The sequence below is a fragment of the Homo sapiens genome, chromosome 11, assembly GCF_000001405.40.
Source record: "Homo sapiens chromosome 11, GRCh38.p14 Primary Assembly".
Taxonomy (NCBI): Eukaryota; Metazoa; Chordata; class Mammalia; order Primates; family Hominidae; genus Homo; species Homo sapiens.
The window spans coordinates 69074517-69096470 of NC_000011.10; the positions used below are offsets into that span (position 1 = coordinate 69074517).

The following is a 21954-nucleotide window of genomic DNA, read 5'->3' on the forward strand; positions in this document are numbered from 1 at the left end:
AGTTAAGAAGCACCATTCTAGATAAAGGCGCTTGTCCTAGGGGCGGAGCTGTTTGGGGCTCAGGAAGCAGCTCTTAGCGGCTGTCGTAGGCTAGGTTTGCTGTGATCCGGCCCATGTTTAACCCAGACGGACACCTTGGCCAAGAGAGATTTCAGCATTATCTATTATGTCTAAATTGTTACAAGGAGAAGGTGTTCGTATGTTAGCTGTGTAACTGAGAGATAACTGATATGACTAAAGGGGCAGGCAGACACAGGCTGGGAGAAGCCAGTCATCCTAAAGGTTCTGGAAAGGTGGTTTTTGTTCCTCAGGCTTTGCTCCTGGTGTGTTCTGGGCCATCTGGGCTCTCCCTGGGCAGTTGTTGCCGTTCCCTAGGGCGTGGTTGAGTCCTGGTTGTCCAGAGCTGACTCTCCCACCCTTTTCCAGTGTCAGGATTTGGTGAGACCTGGAAAGGGGTTCCTCCTCCCGTGATGATGTGGAGGAAGGGCGGATGGATTGCTTTGGCCGTGACCCAGTAGAGCGGGCTTGTGTGCGCACAGGAGTGGGGAAGGCCCAACACGCAGGCCTGGCCTGATTCCCAGCCTGGTGGTCTCCCTGGAGGTCCCGGCGATGCTCTTCCCAGGGCACCGAGCACTGGGCTTTGAGATGGGAGTTTAGGTTCCACAGGTTTTGGGAGCCACAATAGCCTTAATCTGGTTTTCTGACTCCTTCTTTCCTCAATAATGCTGACTGTAGAGGGGAGGCCGTTGCCCCTCGGTATCTGCAGGGATTGGTTCTAGGACTCCATGTGGATACAAAATCCATGGATGTTTAAGTCTCTTAAGATGATGTAGTGTTTGCATGTAACCTACACACATCCTTCCGTATACTTTAAGTCATTTCTAGACTACTTGGAATACCTAGCACCTAGGAATGCAGTGGGAGTTTGGGGAATAAGGGTAAGAAAACCTGTACATGCTCCGTACAGATGCTTTTTCCCTGAGTATGTTTTGATCTGCAGTTGGTTCAGTCTGCGGACGCAGAGCCCGCTGACGTGAAGGGCTGGCAGAGCTTCAGTTTGGGAGGCAGATGCTTCTGGGATTGCTCAGATTTGGGGCAGCCTGTGGTTTTGGAAGCACAAAGAGGTCCTTTCTCGGCAGGCTGACGTCATGGGAGCTCCAGCCTTTTCGAGAGCCCTCCCGTGTGGGGTCACTGCCTGGGCGTCAGCCTGGCCGTGGCCAGGGAGTCGGTTGGTGCTTGCTGGCGAGCTTCAGAGAAGGTGCCCTGCCTGCTGCTGAAAGAAGTCTCCTCTTCATATGAGAAGCTTTTGGGGTTAAAAATGTAGTGGTCATTCATTATAGACAACAGAGGGAAGTGGGAAAATCCACCTCACGGGCTTTCTACCCAGAGACAAGCACTTTAGTCATATCAGTTATCTCTCAGTTACACAGCTAACATATGAACACCTTCTCCTTGTAACAATTTAGACGTAATAGATAATGCTGAAATCTCTCTTGGCCAAGGTGTCCGTCTGGGTTAAACAGAAAGTGTCATGTACGGCAGTGGCAACTACGATAAAAGAGTAACTGCAAGATGTAAGGAAACCATGTGGTGTCCTTGGGCTGAGGGGAGTGCATGAGGAAGGATGGACCTGGAAGGGGACCCTCCGAAGCTGGGGTTCAGACCTCTTGAGAGCAGGTGTGGTTTTGCCCACAGGAATGCAGAGACGTTCACTGGCTTCCCCGGGCTGCGGTTGGTTTGTGGTCACTGGGTAAGCAGGAGGCGACCCTCCTGGGTGCAGCAGGCCCAGGCTGTGAGCAGGCAGTGGCGTGGTCCTGCCGAGGGAATTCGGTGCCAGTGTGGGCAGGTGGCCTTTGGGCACTGGTTTCCACATTGAGGACTGTGGGAAGCTGGGAAATTTTCAGGAGGTCAGGCTGTGGCTGTAGGTCCCCTGGGGACTATGTGTCTCGGACAGAGCGTGTCCAGATGTGCTTAACACCACACTCCGATCCACCCCGTAGCATCCGGAAACCGCAGGGGAGGCCTGCCCTCCTGCTCTGTCCCTCCACCTGCCCTCCTGCTCTGTCCCTCCACCTGCCCTCCTGCCGTGTCCCTCCACCTGCCCTCCTGCGGTGTCCCTCCACCTGCCCTCCTGCCGTGTCCCTCCACCTGCCCTCCTGCCGTGTCCCTCCACCTGCCCTCCTGCCGTGTCCCTCCACCTGCCCTCCTGCTGTGTCCCTCCACCTGCCCTCCTGCTGTGTCCCTCCACCTGCCCTCCTGCCGTGTCCCTCCACCTGCCCTCCTGCCATGTCCCTCCACCTGCCCTCCTGCCCTCGTGCCATGTCCCTCCACTTGCCCTCCTGCCCTCATGCCATGTCCCTCCACTTGCCCTCCTGCCCTCCTGCCATGTCCCTCCACTTGCCCTCCTGCCATGCCCCTCCACCTGCCCTCCTGCTGTGTCCCTCCACCTGCCCTCCTGCCATGTCCCTCCACCTGCCCTCCTGCCACGTCCCTCCACCTGCCCTCCTGCCCTCCTGCCATGTCCCTCCACCTGCCCTCGTGCCATGTCCCTCCACTTGCCCTCCTGCCCTCCTGCCATGTCCCTCCACTTGCCCTCCTGCCCTCCTGCCATGTCCCTCCACCTGCCCTCCTGCCGTGTCCCTCCACCTGCCCTCCTGCCGTGTCCCTTCACCTGCCCTCCTGCCATGTCCCTCCACCTGCCCTCCTGCCATGTCCCTCCACCTGCCCTCCTGCCACGTCCCTCCACCTGCCCTCCTGCCCTCCTGCCATGTCCCTCCACTTGCCCTCCTGCCGTGTCCCTCCACCTGCCCTCCTGCTGTGTCCCTTCACCTGCCCTCCTGCCATGTCCCTCCACCTGCCCTCCTGCCCTCCTGCTGTGTCCCTCCAGCCCCTCCGCTAAGAAAGCCTCAACTCCCGTTCACTGTGGATGAGACGCTGAAAGGGACCCTGCCCGTTGTGGCAGAGTGCGTATCGAGGAGGATGTCGGGAGCCGAGAGGAAGTTCGCTGATCATTGGCACCACCAGTTTGGGTCTCACTGGAGAATAGCCACTCTATTCAACTGGATATTTTGGTGTTTTCCTTCCAGACTTTTCCCTGTGTAATTTCAGGCATTTGTAGTTACCTGGGGAAACAGTTGCTTTGTTCTTCTTTGACGTATACATGAAGCATTGCGATTTTCACTCTGCAGCCTGCCTGTTCACGCAGCCATGTCTTCTTACCCTCTCCATTTTCATATGGACTTTCTGGGGGGATGAGCTGTAGCCACGTGTCACATGTGGCTGTGGAGTACTTGACACGTGGCTGTTGCCACCGAAGAACTGAGTGTTGAATTTTGTTGCATTGAAATTTTCATGAAATAGCCGCCGGTGGTCAGTGGCTCCCGTGTGGGACAGCGGGTGCAGGTCTCCTTGCTGAGAAATGTTTAGGCCATTCCCCTTGTTGACCTCTTGCACACACAGACGTGTCTCAAGGAGGCTGCTGAGCGTGGGAAGTGCTGGGTCTCACAAGGGTCCTGACAGTGGCAGCGTCTGCCCGCCTGCCCCTCATTGCCTCCTGCTGCTGCTGGCCACAGTACAGGAGTTGGTTCTGTGCTGAGTTTCTGTAGCTATGAGTATATCACTTACCTGTGTTTTTTCACACAGCTTTTTTTTTTTTTATATATATCAGGGTGACACTTTGCGTATGTTTCAGGTGACTCTAATATCACAACATGGTTTACTTACAGCCTCAGTGGATGTTTCAGTTGCTTCTATTTCTCTTTGGGTGTTACAAAGACCACTGAGATGAACACCTTTGTGTATAAAGCGATTTCTGTGTCTGGGATTATTTCCTGTGGCTGGATAGATAGGACGGGAGATGGGGTAGGAAAAAATCAAATCCCAGAATAAGAGGGTGTGAGCATTTTTGGGCTGCAACAGCCACGGCTGCTGGCCTGTGCTTCTGAGCACGTGTGTTCCTTGCCCAGCACCCGCCGAGGCCCGAGTACCAGTCTCCGTTTCTGCAGAGCGCCCAGTTCCTCTTCGGCCACTACTACTTTGACTACCTGGGGAACCTCATCGCCCTGGCAAACCTGGTGTCCATTTGCGTGAGTGTGGATTTGCCCCAGAGCTGGCACGGAAGTGCCGGTTCCCGCCCACCTTGCAGGGGAGCCTGCCCCTCCTGCCTCGCCCAGCGCTGTGCTGGGCCAGCCGGCGAGCCCTCTGTTCTGGCGTTGCAGGTGTTCCTGGTGCTGGATGCAGATGTGCTGCCTGCTGAGCGTGATGACTTCATCCTGGGGGTAAGTTCTGAGCTGTCCACCTGTCAGGGCCAGGGTGAGGCTGGGCAGTGCTGGCAGCCCTGGGGCCCAATGCTGGGTGCCTCTTCTGCCCCTTTCAGATTCTCAACTGCGTCTTCATTGTGTACTACCTGTTGGAGATGCTGCTCAAGGTCTTTGCCCTGGGCCTGCGAGGGTACCTGTCCTACCCCAGCAACGTGTTTGACGGGCTCCTCACCGTTGTCCTGCTGGTAAAGTAGGCGCATCCGAGGCCGGCCTCTACTGGGCGGGTGGGTGAGCGCCACCTGGGCTCTGTGCTGGCCCATCTCAGGCCTCCCCTGAGGACTAGAGGCTGTAGGAAGGTGGGCTTCTGCTCTCAGTGGTGAGGGCTGGCTTCCCTGCTGGCCGAGTTGCTCAGTGGGCAGCCGGTGAGGTCTTTAGGAGGCTGGGTTTCTACTGCATCCGAGTGTCATGGGGGGCAGGCTGCCCCTCCCGACCCCCAGGGGAAGCCCTGAAGGACTTGTAGCCCTGGCCAGCGACTCCAGCCCGGGGAACAGCCTCTTAAACGTCACTGATAGACGGTGTGACCTCAGCATGGGTGGAGCGAGGGGCCAGGGGGCTCTCAGGCACCAGGGTGTTCTTGGGAAATGCTTACACTTCCTTTCCCCAGACCCAGTGGGAGTGAGGGCATGCCACACTTGGTGTGTGTGTCACAAGCAGCCACATGAGAGTGACGTTTGCTGTAGCCAGCAGGCCCCTCGGCACATAGGTGAAGAGAAATTTGAAAAGGGCCCTGCAGTCTGTCCTTGACTCAGTATCTTCTCTGCCACCTCTGCCACCCCAATCTGTGCAGTCCCCCGATTCCTGAGGCCAGGGTGTCTTTCCAGCTGAAAGAAGTCCTGACATCTGGAACCAACCCGTGGGGTCCAGGACCAAGCTCTGATTTCTCCCCAAAAGCCCCTTTTGGGGAGAATGTGTTAGAGATGAGCTTTATAATAATTCCTTTAAGGGCCGCCCAGATTAGTGTTGCTGTAGCGAAGCCTTCTTTTCTTTTGTAATTAAAGGTTTTGGAGATCTCAACTCTGGCTGTGTACCGATTGCCACACCCAGGCTGGTATGTGACTGGGCAGAACCGAGGGCGGCTACAGCAAACAGCACCACCACCCAGCGCCCCTGGGAGGGTCTCAGTGGTGTCCAGGGGGCTGGGTCTGCTCTGACTCTAGGGCAGACCCCGTGATGGTGGAATGGGTGGGCCGATCCCACAGCAGAGGCTGTGTCGGGGCAGGGCCCTGCCGTCGCTCTGGGGGTCCTCTCTCCAGAAGCTGGCACCCCGCAGGCTGTGGAGGGAAGCCGTTGTTCCCCCTTGGAGATGCCCTCCCGGGCGGCAGTGGGCTCCCCCTCCCAGCACACATGCTGGGGGCTGGCAGCAGAGATGCCCCTGGCTCAGGTCTCAGGGGACCTGTGACCACTGGGATTCGGCTGGGCCCCTCTGCTGGCGGGAAGGTCCTTGGGAGAGCCCCTGCCTCACAGTGTGACCTTGAGTCATCGCCTCCCACTCTGGACATCACTTTAGCCTCCTTAAAATAGTGGAGCTAGGGGCCCGGGGCTCACTGAACTCTGAGGCTGTGTGCTGATTCACCACTGCCCGGGGTTCTGGCCATGAAGAGACAACCTGGGCAGGGACCCTGGAGCCTCGTGGCACCACAGGGCTGTCAGCCAGGCTGCTCTGCCCTGAGAGCGTGGCTCTGGTGTGCCCGTGATGAGACAGGAAGGGTGGGGCACGGGGCCCAGCATGCCAGCCTCGGCCCTGTGGTTAGGCCGGGCTCCTTGGGTCTCTGTGTGCTGTGTCATCCACCCCACTGCCTAGGGAGCAGCTGGGAGTCGCTTGGTGGGGGTGGGGACGGTGGACAGCAAGAGCCTTGCTATTCCGTCAGCTCCCTAGGAAGCCCCCCAGAACTTACCTCAGGAAGGCAGGCAGTGCCACTGTGCTGTGCCGTGGGGCTGGCATTGCCTTGTCTTTCATGTGCACTGAGCATGCCCGCTGCACTTTGTTCTGAGTCATTACCTTGGGGGGCTGACACTGTGGGTGAGAATGGGTTTGAGTTTCAACAGAAATGAAAGCATGGAAAGACCATGAGGGATGCCAAGCGGGGCTTGGGTCAGGGATGGGGTCAGGGTCAGGGTCATGGGACAGGAGGTGGGCGATGGGGGCAGGAACCAGGGGATGGGGCTGGCGCAGGAGACCGGGGCAGGAGACATGGGCTCACGCAGTTCTGCTGGGGCCTGAGCTGGAGCAAGTCTCAGTGTCTGGAACCTCCATGCCCTCCCGTGTGGACAGAGGGTCTGTGTAGAAGGAGGGCTGCAGCCTTCCCGCAAGGGCTGGCTGGGAAGGTGTTGGGGGGATGGGGGTCGCTCCGGGGCTGCAGGTGGAAGCGGAGCAGTGAGTAGCCCAGGCCCCGCCCTCTCGCCACCCTGCAGAGGCTTTTCTGCTCGGTGTTGGCTGTGGGGTGCACTCCCGTCATGCCCTGTTGCCCTCCCTGCGCCTCCGTCCAGGAACCCGCGCGTTTCCTTGTCTCCTCCCTGTGGGGCTCCTGGGCTCCTCCCAACCCGCCTCCCGTGTCTCTCCCCAGGAGGCCGGAGATGGTGGGCCTGCTGTCGCTGTGGGACATGACCCGCATGCTGAACATGCTCATCGTGTTCCGCTTCCTGCGTATCATCCCCAGCATGAAGGTGTGTGCCGGCCCCACCCCCACTCGCCCCACCCTCCTGGGTCATGCTGCTGCGTTGCTCCAGGGTGGGTGAGCCTGGGGCAGGAAGGGCCCGAGGACTGTGCCCGTCACCCTGGGCTCCCTGGCTGCACCCTCAGCTCTCTGCCGTGCTCTTGTGATGCTGGGGAAGGGTCATTAGAAGCAGGAGAGCCCAGCCCTGCATTTCTGGGTTGGGAGAGGAAGGCGGGCAAGGGTGTGGCGGGTGCAATGCTTTGGCCAGTGGCAGGAGCTCCTTGGGGCTGGAGCCCTGGACACCAGTGCTCCCCCAGGTCTCTGAGGTTCCCAGAAAGGCCTTTGCCATGGCTCCCAGGGTGCTATTAATGAGGGGCAGTGGTATCCCTGGCCAGGGAGCTTGTTTCCAGGATCCTCTAATGCGGGCGCAGGTGGCTCATGACCATCTCTGAGGGCTGGTTTCTCTTAATGCACCGGTTAGGAGCAATGGGCACCTTAAAGGGGCAGGCAGGCAGAGGTCGGGGGTCTGGGCCTTGCTGCTCCTGGCATCATGTCCTAAGACCCATGTTCTGAGTGTCCAGGTCCCTCCTCTGTCCCCGTTCATCCTTCCTCTGAGCTGTGCACCTGTCCCACCTGACAGTATGTCCCACTTGAAGGCAGCTCAGGGGTCCTGAGCCTTCCTACGGGGCTGCTGTGCTGGGACCTTCATACGCACACACACGCGCACACGTGTTCACACATAATTACAGCCATACAAGCACAATCATACATATATACAATACAGCCAAGCACACGTGATCTCACACACAACCACACATGTGACCATGCACATGCATATACACACACAATCACAGGCACACATGATCATACACAGTCACACATATACAATCATGTTTGGATACAATACACATCATCATGCACATACACACGTACATTAATACGCACGCCCGCATCACCGTATGCACAGATAATCACATGCAAATATCCATGTGAACTCATGTCCGTGTAAGACGCATGATCGTGTGTGCACACATCGCATGCAGATATCCATGTGAACTCGTGCCCGGGTAAGACGCATGATCGTGTGTGCACACATCGCATGCAGATATCCATGTGAACTCGTGCCCGGGTAAGACGCATGATCGTGTGTGCACACATCGCGTGCAGATATCCATGTGAACTCGTGCCCGTGTAAGACGCATGATCGTGTGTGCACACATCGCGTGCAGATATCCATGTGAACTCGTGCCCGTGTAAGACGCATGATCGTGTGTGCACACATCGCGTGCAGATATCCATGTGAACTCGTGCCCGTGTAAGACGCATGATCGTGTGTGCACACATCACGTGCAGATATCCATGTGAACTCGTGCCCGGATAAGACGCATGATCGTGTGTGCACACATCGCGTGCAGATATCCACGTGAACTCGTGCCCGTGTAAGATGCATGATCGTGTGTGCACACATCGCATGCAGATATCCTTGTGAACTCGTGCCCGTGTAAGACGCATGATCGTGTGTGCACACATCGCATGCAGATATCCTTGTGAACTCGTGCCCGTGTAAGACACATGATCGTGTGTGCACACATCGCATGCAGATATCCATGTGAACTTGTGCCCGTGTAAGATGCATGATCGTGTGTGCACACATCCACAGTAAGGCCTCAGTGCTATCCACAGGTTCTTGGAAACTGTGACTTTAAGGGAAATGGCGCACAGCAGACCCTGCAATCATGCCGTTTTGCTTGAAGTCGCAGTTTCCCAGGACCTCTCACGTGAGTATATACATGCTCACGATGACACGCAACGTGTGCACACGTACATGCTGACTGGTCTCCACTGTGGCGTTCAGCTGTGTTGTCTAGTTTGGATTCCTCAGGTGGGTTGATGGGGCTGATGTGAAGGCCTTTCTCCCGGCTAGGCTGTGATGAGGAGGAGCGGCTCTTTGGAGCCGGGGCCTCCCTGCTGGTTCTCAGAGGCCCCTTCTCAGACTCAGTTCCTGCAGGTGCTCCTGCCACCTCTAGCTCTGCATTTCTTTGGCGTCTCCAGGCCACAGAGTAGCTGACCCACCTGCAGTGGGTTGGGAGGCAGAGAAGGGCCTCCCACAGGAATTTGAAGTCCGTGCTTGAATGAGGCTGGGGTGGAGGTGTTGGGATGCGGGAGTGGGTGAGTGAGTGCGTGCGGGTGGCGATGCAAGCGTGTGCGAATGCGTGTGGGTAGATGTAGGTGTTGGGGTGCGAGGGTGTGTATGGGTGGACGTGGGGGCCTGACAGGCTGTGTGGGTGTGTAGAGGCGTGTGGGGGTGGCTGTGGGTCCAGGTGTGTGTGTGTGGGTTGGTGGTCATTGGCCTGCCCCATCTTGCCTTTCTGTCAGGGTCAGCGTGGTGGGCCGGGATGGTGTCCCCTCAGTGGGGCCAGGAGGAGTAAGGGCTGTGCTCTCTTCCTGTCCTCAGCTGATGGCCGTGGTGGCCAGTACCGTCCTGGGCCTGGTGCAGAACATGCGTGCGTTTGGCGGGATCCTGGTGGTGAGTCCCAGGCTGCTGCTGGTGGCGGGTTATGCACTGGAGTGGGAGGCTGGGAGGCTGGCGGAAGGCAGTGCCGGGCCGGCTCACTGCTCTGTCGGTAGGAAGGTTCTTGGGTTCGGACGGCAGCAGGTTCCTGAGGCCAGGGAAGTACAGGGTCGGGGTAAGAAGCCAGAGGCATCCCCTTCTTTGTACAGCAGGGAGCTCGGGTGGTGTGGCTGGTGGCCCTGCCTGAGCATCCTTCCCTCCCATGGCAGAGACTGTTTGGTAATTTTTGAGTCTCTCGTGTTTTCTGGGTTGTGGATCTCGTTGAGAAAGTAATGACAGAAATTTAAGAGGCGCAGGGCTTTGCTCCAGGGACCCCAAAGCCTGCACAAGCCCTGGGATGAGGACTTGGTCGAGGCTCCTTTCTTAGAGGAATTTCAGGGACTCACAGCCACATTTGCTGAGCGAGAACTGTGGGACGCCCCGGCCCCTCCCTGGGGGCCAGCCTTCCAGCTGAGGAGCCCATCTGCTCTGCCTGGTGGCCGGGCTTGGGCAGGAGAGGGGCCTGTGACCAGGCAGGCCCCAGATCCGCGCCGTGCAGAGTGACAGGAGGCGCCCTTTGCAGGAAGCCCGGCCACACTTCAGGCAGTTTTGCCATTTTATTCTGACCACCTTGACGTAGGGACCACTGGGGTGAGAAGGTGTCTCTGGGGCCGCAGGGTGCTCTGGGCTGGACCCCAGCTGTGCCTCGCGCCTCTGGAAATAGACGCTGGGAAGAGAATCTTGCCTCAGGTGCTGTCTGCCCAGCCCCCTAACTTGCACAGCAGAGGAAACTGAGGCCCAGAAAGGGGACCAGGTTAGCCCAGGCGTGTACCCCTTCCACTCTGCTGACGCATGTTAGGGACAGGCCTGGGGTTGGCGGGCAGCCTGTCCCCTAACTGTGGCTGCCAGGGTACCTGGGGGCAGGGCCCTAATTCCCTTAGGAGCTCCATGACCACGCCTGCCTGAGCCCCACTGTGTCTGTGGACCCGCCAGCCCTGGGGGAGGCCAGCTGCGTGTGTTTTGAAGTAGCAGCCAGGCTGGAATCCCAGCCCTGGGCAGAGGGTCCTGGCCTCACAGTCATCCTCTGGCTTTGCGGTTCTGTCTGGGGAGGGTGGTGGTGGGTGCACCCATGGGTGGGGCTGATCAGTCCCCGGCTCCTGGCCCGCCAGGTGGTCTACTACGTATTTGCCATCATTGGGATCAACTTGTTTAGAGGCGTCATTGTGGCTCTTCCTGGAAACAGCAGGTGAGGTGGGGTCCGAGGTGCCACAGGGAGTGTCTCAGGGGTGCTGGGGTGGGCGGGAAGCCTTGGCGGTGGCCTCAGTGGGCTCAGCATCTCAGGATGGGAGGGTGTTCTCCCAGTTCCTTCGTCTCCTCCCTCCACCCCCTTTTCCCGACCCCCAATTTCCACCTCCGCTCCGCACCTCTCCTAGGAGCCCTTGCCTGGAGTCTGCTAAACACATTTCTCGTGGCCTGCTCAGAGCAGCACTTTCCCTGCCCTCTGAGCCTCTGTATCCCAATTTGTACCTTCAGGCCAGGCTGAGCACGCCAGCAGAGGAAAGGGGTGTAAGGTATCAGGCCTCAGAACCTGGAGCCCCCGCCCCTGACCCAGGTGTGTTGTGTTCCCCAGCCTGGCCCCTGCCAATGGCTCGGCGCCCTGTGGGAGCTTCGAGCAGCTGGAGTACTGGGCCAACAACTTCGATGACTTTGCGGTGAGCCCTGCGCCCTGTCCCAGCACCCTGCTCCCCGGGCTCCTCCCCTCCCTACCTCCTGGGCCCTCCTGGACCGCTGGTCTCTGCCCCCGCAGGCTGCCCTGGTCACTCTGTGGAACTTGATGGTGGTGAACAACTGGCAGGTGTTTCTGGATGCATATCGGCGCTACTCAGGCCCGTGAGTCCTCGTCTCCCTGACGGCAGTGATTCTCCGTGCAGCCTGGGGGTTCCCTCACCTCCGGGCACGCTGCATCTGCACTGGACGCCCGGAGCGTGGCTGGGACGGGGACTCGGGCCTTGACAGGGAAGTCGGCCAGCGTGGCATCCTGGCTTGCCTTGTCCCTGCCCCCTGCATAGCCACATCGTGACTCTCAGGATGGTGGCCAGTGACTCTGGGTTTACACCTCCTGGAGGTCGTTGGTGTGTTTGGGGCTTCTGAGGAATTCCATGGGGGTGGGGGAGCCCCGGGAAGGCTGAGTGAACGAGATAGTTCAGCTCTGAGCTTGAAGAGCTCAGACTGGCCCCAGCTGATGGTCCTGGGTTTTAATCCCAGCACCGCCTCCTGCTGGCTTAGCTACCTCGGCAGCTTGTTGCACGTTTCTAGGCCTCAGTTGGGTTGTTTCTGAGATGGAAATAGTAACGCGCTCTGCATCATGGTGTGTGTGGGCCGGCTGCCCGAGAGCTGTCCTGGCCACGCAGCAGTGGTGTTTGTATCGAGTGCTCTTGCTTTGCTCATCGTGGTTCACAGGGTGGGTCTCTGTCCTCCGCAGGTGGTCCAAGATCTATTTTGTATTGTGGTGGCTGGTGTCGTCTGTCATCTGGGTCAACCTGTTTCTGGCCCTGATTCTGGAGGTATCAGAGATCCCCACCCAGGCTGTTCTCCATGGTCGTTTGTTTCTAATTCACTCTCGATGGGCCTGAGGCCACCGGCCGGGCCTGCCTGGAACTTTGATGGGAGAGTCGTGCTGGGTTAGGCGGGTCCTGAGTGAGGCTGAGCCCCTCCCGTGGGGCTCAGTGCTGCCCGCCCTGGCTGCTGGGGCCTTGGGGAGTGCTCCTGACATCTGGGCTGCTGGGGCCTTGGGGGGTGCTCCTGACATCTGGGCTGCTGGGGCCTTGGGGGGTGCTCCTGACATCTGGGCTGTGGGGATTCTCAGGCCCCCAGGTCGGGCTGAAGGAGGGACTTGGACATTGGCTCCAGGAGGAGCCAGCAGCCTCGTGGGGCCTGTGCCTGGGTGTCCAGGGTGAATGGCTCAGCCCCCTCAGCGGGTGCCCTGTGGCTGACCCTGGAGGGGCCGGGGATGGGGCAAGGCTGCTTTCATTCGGGGCCCACACTCACTGGCCACTCCTCCTGCTTGCCAGAACTTCCTTCACAAGTGGGACCCCCGCAGCCACCTGCAGCCCCTTGCTGGGACCCCAGAGGCCACCTACCAGATGACTGTGGAGCTCCTGTTCAGGTGTGTGGGTGGGGAAGGCGCTTCTGTCTGGCCCCCTGGGATGGGAAGCCAAGAGCTGGGGGGTGGAGGGGTTGAGGCGGCGGGCAGGCCCTGATGACTGTCCTCCCCCTCCGCCCGGTTATCTGGCTTTGGTCCTGTGCTCTAGGAGAGCAGCTCAGAGCCGGGATCGGGGCGGCTTCTTCTTCCTGCCACTGGCGTCATAGCCTTTGTCCTGCTCTCCTGCTCTTGGATTGGGCATATTTAAGGCACCATCCTTCAGGGTCCATTGGATCCTGTTGGATGTAAACAAGGGACCTGAGGAAAACGCACCCATCTCTTCTCCTGGCAGCTTTGAGATGGTTCCTCTGCTAGTCCAGAAAAGTGACCACCCAGAGGCAGCCCTGCTGTGGGGCCTCTGTGCCTTCCACCAGGGGCTGCCGAGTTGCTGCAGCCAAGCCCTGCGGTCCTGCCAGCCAGTGGGAAGACGTGGCCCCTGGGCTTTTAAGAATGCCGTGTAGATATTTCTAGTGGCTACATCCATCCTGAGGCTCATCTGAGTCCCCGTGTCTCTGTGTCCCTGTGACACTCACTTCGCATGTGTTGCTAAGCTCTGCTCCCTTGTTCTTGTGGGCAGGCCAGGGTCTCCCTCCTTTAGAGGCCCCTGTGTGCATCTTTCCTCAATTCCACAGGGATATTCTGGAGGAGCCCGGGGAGGATGAGCTCACAGAGAGGCTGAGCCAGCACCCGCACCTGTGGCTGTGCAGGTGACGTCCGGGCTGCCGTCCCAGCAGGGGCGGCAGGAGAGAGAGGCTGGCCTACACAGGTGCCCGTCATGGAAGAGGCGGCCATGCTGTGGCCAGCCAGGCAGGAAGAGACCTTTCCTCTGACGGACCACTAAGCTGGGGACAGGAACCAAGTCCTTTGCGTGTGGCCCAACAACCATCTACAGAACAGCTGCTGGTGCTTCAGGGAGGCGCCGTGCCCTCCGCTTTCTTTTATAGCTGCTTCAGTGAGAATTCCCTCGTCGACTCCACAGGGACCTTTCAGACAAAAATGCAAGAAGCAGCGGCCTCCCCTGTCCCCTGCAGCTTCCGTGGTGCCTTTGCTGCCGGCAGCCCTTGGGGACCACAGGCCTGACCAGGGCCTGCACAGGTTAACCGTCAGACTTCCGGGGCATTCAGGTGGGGATGCTGGTGGTTTGACATGGAGAGAACCTTGACTGTGTTTTATTATTTCATGGCTTGTATGAGTGTGACTGGGTGTGTTTCTTTAGGGTTCTGATTGCCAGTTATTTTCATCAATAAGTCTTGCAAAGAATGGGATTGTCATTCTTCACTTCAGCACAGTTCTAGTCCTGCTTCTCTGGAGTAGGGTTGTTGAGTAAGGTTGCTTGGGTTGTGCATTGCACAAGGGCACATGGCTGTGAGGTGTATCCTGGCGGGGGGCTGTCTACCTGCAGTGAGGGGCACCTTTTCTGTTTTGCTCAAAGGCATGTATAAGCCAATGGGTGACCTTATTTCCTGTGTCTTCAGGTGTGTGGCAGGGGGCCTGGGGTGGGGAGGTGGGGCGAGCGAGCAGTGTGTGGAAAGCCTTGTTGTCACCTGAAGCACGCCAGGTCCAGATTGACCAATGGTTTTCTCACTTCAGGGGCCAACCCACGCCCCCTTTCTGCTGAGGTTTGGGTGCCATCTAGTGGTGGGATGGGACTTGGTTGACTACATTTAAGGTAAGGTGGACCCAGCAACTCCCAGAAACAACTCCGGGGACACCACTCCCCATCACACTCCACACCGAGCCTGGTGCCCGGTCTGTGCCCGAGCTCAGCGGGACCAGGAAGGGATGGGCCCTGCCAGGGTTGCCCCTGCACTGTGCATTCTCGCCTGGGAGGCACAAGTTCTTTCATCTGCTTTTCCTTCAGAGGTGCTGAGCCCACGCCATAGCCCCTGTGGGATGGTGGGGGAGGGGGCGACCCGAACAACAGTGCAGTCGGTATCGAGATTGGGGAGAGGAGCGAGTCCAAGGAGAAGGTCATGAGTTTCTTTTTACTCGTGTTGAATAATAACAATAACAATAACAATAACAATATGGAAACCACCGCAAACTTGGAGAAAAGTTGTAAGCACAGTAAAGAGAAGCTTCCTTCTGAGTCACTTGAGTGGTTGCCGTTCTGGCCCTGCACCCTCTGTGCTTTGGGACGGCGTCCAACCCGCATTCATGTCAGGAGTGAGTCGCACGTGGCTTTGTGGTCATGGCGACTTAATCCGCCTGGACGGTGGCTCCGTCTCCCTGGGCTTAGACGACCTTGGCACTTCTGGAGATAAGCCCATGGCTCCCAGGTTGTGTTCATGTGACGTTTCCTTGTGGTAGGTTCTGGGTCTGCGTTTCGTCTAGGAGTGTCACAGGATGGACACTGCCTCCTGGCAGGGGCTGCCCAATGCAGTTAGCCTCCTGCTGGTGTTCTCTCTTGTTGCTTGGTGAAGGTGGCCCTGGTCAGCTTCTCCACTGCCCAGTGAACGACCCCTTTGTAATGAATGAGTGGGGAGGTAGTGTGAAGCGATGCCAATATCCCATCCCTGTCAAACTGCCTTTACTTTTTCCTTCCTTCCTTGCTCCCACCTGTGTGGATCCTGGTCCCTTCTTGTATTCAGGGCTGTGGTCTGTTATGACATTTACTCTCAGGCTCAGGTCCTGCTTGTTTGGCCCGTGGGAGCCCCTTCTTCTGCCTTTTGTGTTTTTTTTGTTATGTACCTACAGTTCTTTAGCTGTTTCTTTACTTTCTGGTGCAAAAAGATGTTCAAGCCTTATTTTATACTTGCCTGCCCCTTTCTCTTTCATTTATTGGAGTGAGCTGCAGCTCTAAGAAGACCTGTTCTTTTGAATGGAGAGTAGCATCAGGAACCAGGATGTGGGTGCGAGGCGTGCTCCTGGCTGTTGCAGATTGCTGCACCCGGGAGCTCTTAGTGGACAGAGCTAGAGGATATGTGCACGTACTTCCATCTCTCTCTCTGTCTCATCTATTCACAGCTGGGAATGATACTAATACCTCCGATTTTAGCCCAGCACCACAGGGTACGTTCCAGTTTTTCTCTCTTTCCATAGCTGTAAGGCCCTTTCTGGGAATGGTTCTCATTCTCCTTAATCTATTATTGGGTCAGTTTTCCTGCATGTCCCCAGCCTCCCATCACTGCCACCCACTCCCCACAGAGATGCCCTGCTCATCCGACTGGGGCTTTGACTCCCACACTGTGTACCCCTCTTGTGTGGACGCCCTGCTGCCAAAACCTTCAGCAAACAGCTTTCCAAATGGAAGTTGTCACTGTCAGGGCCTTTACAATCAGCAACAGCAAAATCTACATGCTGCTGAGGGTCCTGCCTCATTAAGATGCAATAAATATGTAAGTACATAAAAACAGCAATAGAAGAAACGTAATGCTTTATTCTCAAATATGATGTCTACATAGAAAAGCCAAAATTATTAAGAATAGTAAGAATTCACCCAGCACTTTGGGAGGCCGAGGCGGGTGGATCATGAGGTCAGGAGATCGAGACCATCCTGGCTAACAAGGTGAAACCCCGTCTCTACTAAAAATACAAAAAATTAGCCGGGCGCAGTGGCGGGCGCCTGTAGTCCCAGCTACTGGGGAGGCTGAGGCAGGAGAATGGCGTGAACCCGGGAAGCGGAGCTTGCAGTGAGCCGAGATTGCGCCACTGCAGTCCGCAGTCCAGCCTGGGCGACAGAGCGAGACTCCGTCTCAAAAAAAAAAAAAAAAAAAAAAAAGAATTCAGCACAGTTGTTTGCTATGAGATTTAAAAAGTTTTTACTTTATTACTTATTCATTTATTTATTTTAGGGTCTTGCTCTGTTACCCAGGCTGGAGTGCAGTGGTGTGATCATGGCTCACTGCAGCCTCCAACTTGTGGGCTCAAGCAGTCCTCCTACCTTGGCCTCCTGAGTAGCTGTAACTACAGGCACATGCCACCAGGTCTGGCTAATTGTTTTATTTCTTGTAGAGATGGAGTATCTCTATGTTGCCCAGGCTATTCTTGAATTCCTAGGCTCAAGTGATCCTCCCACCTTGGCCTCCCAAAGTGCTGAGATTACAGGTGTGAGTCACTGCACCTGGCCTGCCCTGAGATTATATACTGAAATCAATTGCTTTTCTAGACACTAGCAATAAGCTTATAAATTATATTCAAGGATTCAGTTATATTCATTTTTTAAAAGATATTTAAATAAGATTAAAAATTCTTAAAGTTTCTAAAAATAAATGGAAGGAAAGATATTCAAGGCCTATATACAGAAAACTATAAAACTTCATTAAAGCCCATGACTGTAGATACAAGTAAATTGAGACTATGTAGTTTTCTGTTGCTGTGTAACAAGTCCCCACATACTTGGTAGCTTATCACAACCTCATTTCTTAGCTCCAAGCTGCAGGTCAGACATCCAGGCACGGCTTGGTAGGTCCTCCGTTCAGCAGAAATTGGGGTGTCAGTGGGCTGGGTTCCTTCTGGGAGCTCCGGGGAAGAGTCTGCTCCCATACTCACTTGGGTTGTTGGCCAAATGCAGTTGCTTGCAGGTGTTGGGCTGATGTCCGTTTCCTGCTGGCTGTCAGCCAGGGGCTGCTCTTAGGGACTAGAGGCCACCCACATTCCTTGCCATAGGGTCCCCTCCATCTTCAAAGTCAGCAACAAAGAAGCTGCCTCACATTGACTCCCACTCACCCTTTGAATCTCTAGGAAAAGCCTGTGTGGTTTACAGTTTCACCTGATTAGGTCAGACCCACCAGGACAACTGCCCATCCTTAAAAGTCCTGTGTGCCACCTAACATATCCCAATTCCGGGAGTGACTTATTCACGGGAGGAGATTATGTAAGGGTAAGGATCACTGGGGTCATCTTGGAATTCTGGCCACCACAGTTTTTCTATCTTCATGGTCAAAAAGAATTGATATTGTAAAAATGTCAGCCTTCTCCAATTTCATCCATACATTCATTATAATTCTAAACATAATGCCATTTTTTTCCCACAAAATTTGATAAGTTGATTGAAAAATTAACATGAAAGTACAAAAACAAGAGCAAAAATCCTTTCTGTGGGAGAATCCAGTTGAGGGAATTGCTGCTCCATTATTCCTGACTTACATTGCTGGGACAGCAGCCACAGCAGTGTGGTCCTGGTGCAGGAGCTAATCGGCTAAGGGGAGAGAGCCCGGGAGCCCCGCACACCGGCGCAAGGGCGAATCTACTAAGGGGAGAGAGCCCGGGAGCCCCGCACACCGGCGCAAGGGGCGGATCGGCTAAGGGGAGAGAGCCCGGGAGCCCTGCACAAATGCGGAACTGCGACGGATGGCAGCAAACCCGCAGGGAAGGGATTGTTATTTAATAAATGCTGCCAGAAATTCCAGCCCAGGTGGGAAAAGAAAGAAATAAGTTCCCTGTTTCACACCTAACACAAAAGTACATACCGACTGGAGGCGGGCTTAAGTGTGAAAAGCAAGTTTTAGAACGTTTAGAAGATGAACTCAATATATTTAAATTAAGAACTTCTTTCTTTAAAAAAGGCCATAAAATAGGCAAGCCACACACTGGGAGAAGATTTTGGTAACTGAGAACAACTAAGAACTTATATCCAGACCACATAAAGAGTACCTACAAATTAGGAAGAAAAAGACAAAGCAGTAGAAAGTTGGGCTTTTCACAGAAAAGCAAACACCCGGGTTCCATAGCTATGTCAAAAGTTGCTCCGTCTTACTAGTTATTAGGAATATGCAAAATGAAACTGAAACACAACATTTCACTCACTCCATGGTCAAAATGGAAGAGGTTGGACCATCTTAATTGTTAGTACTTACATGTTTATTCTGAAGAGTCAAGCTAAGCTGAAACAACCTCTTTGGAAAATTGTTTGGTGTCATTTCTTGCAATTGAATAGGACATACCTTGGTAATTCTCTGCTAGATACACTCACAAGAGAAACTGCTGCCCGTGTGCACTGGAAGACGGTCGGCAGAGTGATCCTAAGAGCAGTATCAGTACTAGCAACACATCTGCCAGCTGAAACGTCCTCAACAGAATGACAGGTACGCTGCAGCTTGGTGACAGTGGAGTATTACACGGCCGTGAACATGAATGAACTCCAGCTGCAAAGAGCTACCTGGAAGAATCTTAGAAACATAATGTTGGGTGAACAAGTTCCAGAAGTCTCCACACGGCACGGTATTATTCATGTAAAATTCAAAAGCAAGGTTAAACAACATACCATGTAGGCACGCATACATCAGTGATGAGGTTACTTCAACACAAGACAGCCTGAAGCCTGTGGTCCAGTCAGTGCTGAGATTACTTCAACACAAGACTCCCAGAAGCCTATGGTCTGGTCAGTGCTGAGATTACTTCAACACAAGACGCCCAGAAGCCTATGGTCCGGTCAGTGCTGAGATTACTTCAACACAAGACGGCCAGAAGCTTATGGTCTGGTTAGTGCTGAGATTACTTCAACACAAGATGGCCAGAAGCCTATGGTCCAGGGAGCGGCCACCTCTTGGGGAAATGGGGATGGGATGGGAAGGGACTGACTGCCATGAGCAAGTTCCAGGGGAAGTTCTTGTCCTGGCGGGGCTGGGCAGGGCTCATGGTCATGGTATTAACCTTAGGAACATGCACATGTTACATGTGTTCTTTTGCATGTGCCAAATATTAAAAGGAGAGCGAGAGGAGAGGCACTGAAGACAGTGAGGATGGACGGCCCTCAGGGAATCTCGCTGCAAAGGGGAGGCGGGGTCAAGAGGATATTGTGGTGGTTTTCACGTGGGAGGATCCTGTGTGGACTGATGTGGAAGACCCAGGGAAGAGCCAGAGAAGTGACAAAGCAGGAATGAGGAGGCCAGGCAGGGGTCAGCCACAGGGACGTTGCTGGGCAGTGGCAGGAGGTGCAGTGCCAGGGGCAGCAGTGGGGCAGAAGTGGGGCGGGGCTTGGCAGGGCTGGGCAGGGCCGGGCTGGCAGGTCCTCTGCCCCCAGGGCTCAAGCACAGGGCTGACCAGAGCAGCAGTTCTGCCGGCCCCGCAGGCCTGGTATCACTAGTGGGAGCACTCAGTGGCCATCAGGTTCCTCTCCCAGGTTCCCTCCCACATGCTGTCCCCAGTGCAGGTGGCTGGATGGGGTCCAAGACCCATGCCCAGTCTGTCGCTGGGGCCTGGGAGCGGGGTCTTAGCGAGCAGGCTGGGGCCTTTCATGTGGTCTCTGTCCAGCTGGGCACAGCAGGGGGAATCTTCCCTACTGCCAGAACGGCTTGGATTGGGTTTCCCGCCTGAGATAATTAGTGGTTCTTAGGAAAAGGTTAGAAGAGTTCTTGCTTAAAAACCACCAAATGGGACTGGGCACACTGCACTGCTCCTAAAAATCAAAGAGGAGGCGTGGAGCCCAGACAACACTCCTCACATCAAAGTGGCCAGCAGACGGCCCAGGGCAGCGGGCACAGCCTCCTGCACGCCTCTCCCCAGCCCTCTACTCACGTTTCAGGGTGTGTGTGGGGGGCCAGCTATTCTTCTGAGTAATTCAATCGGAGCCTCACAGGGTGGTGGGACCCACACCTGTGGGGGTTCTGGGTAGGCCTGGGTGCCTCCACAGTTCCGACCACAGTTGGCTAATCCACACCTGGGCCTGGGCCCCAGCAGCACCTGTTGCCAGGTGAGCCTGCCTGCCTGCCTCCCAGGCCCTGCAGGTTGTGGCCTTTTTAAGCACAGCTGACGGGCACACTGACTTGTGAGGTGGGCGGGGGCCCAATAACACAAGTCCATGGTGAACATTATAGAGTGGTTCTTATTTCTGAAGCTGAGACCTATGCAGTGCCGGGCAGGTGTCTGCCAGCGCCCCTCAGACATGAGCGTGCGTCAGAACTCCCTGGGGAATGTTGACAATGCAGATTCCCAGGCTCTGCCCCAGAGTTTCTGATTGAGATGGCCAGGCTTGAGGAAGTACACGTGTGAAAAGTTTCAGGTGCTGCTGCTGGCAGGGGCCACATGTGGGGGTCGACTGGCCTAGGAGCGCCAGCTTCCCTCCCTCCTTCCCTTCTTTTCTTTCGGCAAATTGTAAGGAGCACCCAGAGCTGCTAGGGGCCAGTTTGAAACTAGCAGTGCTTTGGGAGGAGCAGCTACAGAAAGGCCCTTTCTCTGGGTGGTTGGAATGAACCCAGCCTCTCTGGGTAGGGGCATCAGGGAAAAGTGCTGGCTGCTCAGTGCTGCCGTGCCCCCGGCCACACTGGCGGACACGTGGCTTGGCCGGTAGGAGCCAGGCAGGACATTGGCCCATCTGCCTTGGCTATGGGATGTGTGCAGGGTGCACGACTGGATGTGGAGAGCCTGGCCGGACCCTGCCACACTCAGGGGCACGGGTATCAGCAAGAGCCCCTGAGCATGAAGAGAGCAGAGATGGGGTCCCGGCCTCTGTGGGGTCTGGAAGTTCCCGGCTGATGCCTCCCATCCCCCAGCTCCATGCTCCTGGGCTTTTGAGCCCCTCCACTCACCCTGTGAGGCCTTGTGATGTGGAGAAATTTGTAGATATGCATGCCATCGAATGCCAGAAAGAACAGAAGGTAGCTTACATCTGGTGCTGTAGCATGCAGTCAGTGTTTATCTGAGGTTACTGTGAGCCAGGCATGGGGCGCTCACGTTCTCACCTGGACGTACCAGGGGGATGACAGCAGAGAAAAGGCTGGGACCAGGAGGAGGAGGAAGAGGCTGGATATGAAGCCCGAAGACCCACTGTTACTCCAGGCCAGCTTGGAGCTTCCTGAGGGCCTTTGGGAAAAGGGAAAAGGTTTCTACCTGAAGAGGCACGGGTCTTGTTGGTGAGCCCTGCCCTTCCTGGCGGAGACATCCCTGGGTGGGCTAGGCCTGGAGAAGGCTACCACCCAGCGTTGGTGACCCCAGCACCATGTTGGGAAACATCGGGATGTGAGCCAGGACCCACAGAAGCCTCGATTTGGTCTCCGTGTGTTTTGAAGGTTCATGGTGGGAGGCCCAGGGGGTGAAGGGTATGAAGGCACCTTCTAGTGTTGAAGGCAGGGAACACATGCCCATTGTCTGCATTTCATTTCCCTTAAAAGGAATCTCAGGAGAGTAATAATAGTGATAATTGGTTGGTAGACGGAAGTCATGTTGCTGGGGGCCTGCTGGCCTCTAGGTGCTTTCTGGAGCCCTTTACCTGCAGGCTGGCAGATGGATGTGTTTAATCTTACAGAGTCACCCGCTGTGGCCCTATTGACAGATGGGGAAACTGAGGAT

The 21954-nt window shown here is 56.0% G+C and overlaps 1 protein-coding gene and 1 non-coding gene across 2 annotated transcripts in view, besides 4 other annotated features; both read left to right on the plus strand.

Annotated features, from left to right (window-relative positions):
• The window catches only part of TPCN2 (two pore segment channel 2), a 41666-nt gene extending 25585 nt beyond the window's left edge, over window positions 1–16081 (plus strand). The window contains exons 14-25 of the mRNA NM_139075.4: window positions 3966–4085; window positions 4218–4277; window positions 4376–4504; window positions 5318–5367; window positions 6884–6983; window positions 9429–9500; window positions 10694–10770; window positions 11155–11236; window positions 11332–11414; window positions 12007–12088; window positions 12596–12690; window positions 13359–16081. Coding sequence (NP_620714.2) covers window positions 3966–4085; window positions 4218–4277; window positions 4376–4504; window positions 5318–5367; window positions 6884–6983; window positions 9429–9500; window positions 10694–10770; window positions 11155–11236; window positions 11332–11414; window positions 12007–12088; window positions 12596–12690; window positions 13359–13437 — 1029 coding nt within the window. The 3' untranslated portion in view covers window positions 13438–16081. The remainder of the gene's footprint in view (window positions 1–3965; window positions 4086–4217; window positions 4278–4375; window positions 4505–5317; window positions 5368–6883; window positions 6984–9428; window positions 9501–10693; window positions 10771–11154; window positions 11237–11331; window positions 11415–12006; window positions 12089–12595; window positions 12691–13358) is intronic.
• Window positions 5249–6448: an enhancer, noted in NCBI's record as "P300/CBP strongly-dependent group 1 enhancer chr11:68847233-68848432 (GRCh37/hg19 assembly coordinates)". NCBI's record gives its function as "activates an origin of replication core promoter dependent on BRD2, BRD4, P300/CBP, MED14 and CDK7 cofactors, with strong dependence on P300/CBP, by STARR-seq in HCT116 cells {active_cell/tissue: HCT116}" and the evidence as "EXISTENCE:reporter gene assay evidence [ECO:0000049][PMID:35650434]".
• On the plus strand, window positions 8660–8742 carry MIR3164 (microRNA 3164). The gene has a single exon (NR_036122.1). It is a non-coding gene; the product is annotated as a microRNA 3164 (primary transcript).
• Window positions 11069–11570: an enhancer, noted in NCBI's record as "H3K4me1 hESC enhancer chr11:68853053-68853554 (GRCh37/hg19 assembly coordinates)". NCBI's record gives its function as "activates a minimal SCP1, AML or CMV promoter by ChIP-STARR-seq in naive H9 embryonic stem cells {active_cell/tissue: H9 hESC(naive)}" and the evidence as "EXISTENCE:reporter gene assay evidence [ECO:0000049][PMID:30033119]".
• Window positions 11571–12070: an enhancer, noted in NCBI's record as "H3K4me1 hESC enhancer chr11:68853555-68854054 (GRCh37/hg19 assembly coordinates)". NCBI's record gives its function as "activates a minimal SCP1, AML or CMV promoter by ChIP-STARR-seq in naive H9 embryonic stem cells {active_cell/tissue: H9 hESC(naive)}" and the evidence as "EXISTENCE:reporter gene assay evidence [ECO:0000049][PMID:30033119]".
• Window positions 14237–14376: a silencer, noted in NCBI's record as "silent region_3690". NCBI's record gives its function as "represses an Ori minimal core promoter by ATAC-STARR-seq in GM12878 lymphoblastoid cells {active_cell/tissue: GM12878}" and the evidence as "EXISTENCE:reporter gene assay evidence [ECO:0000049][PMID:35858748]".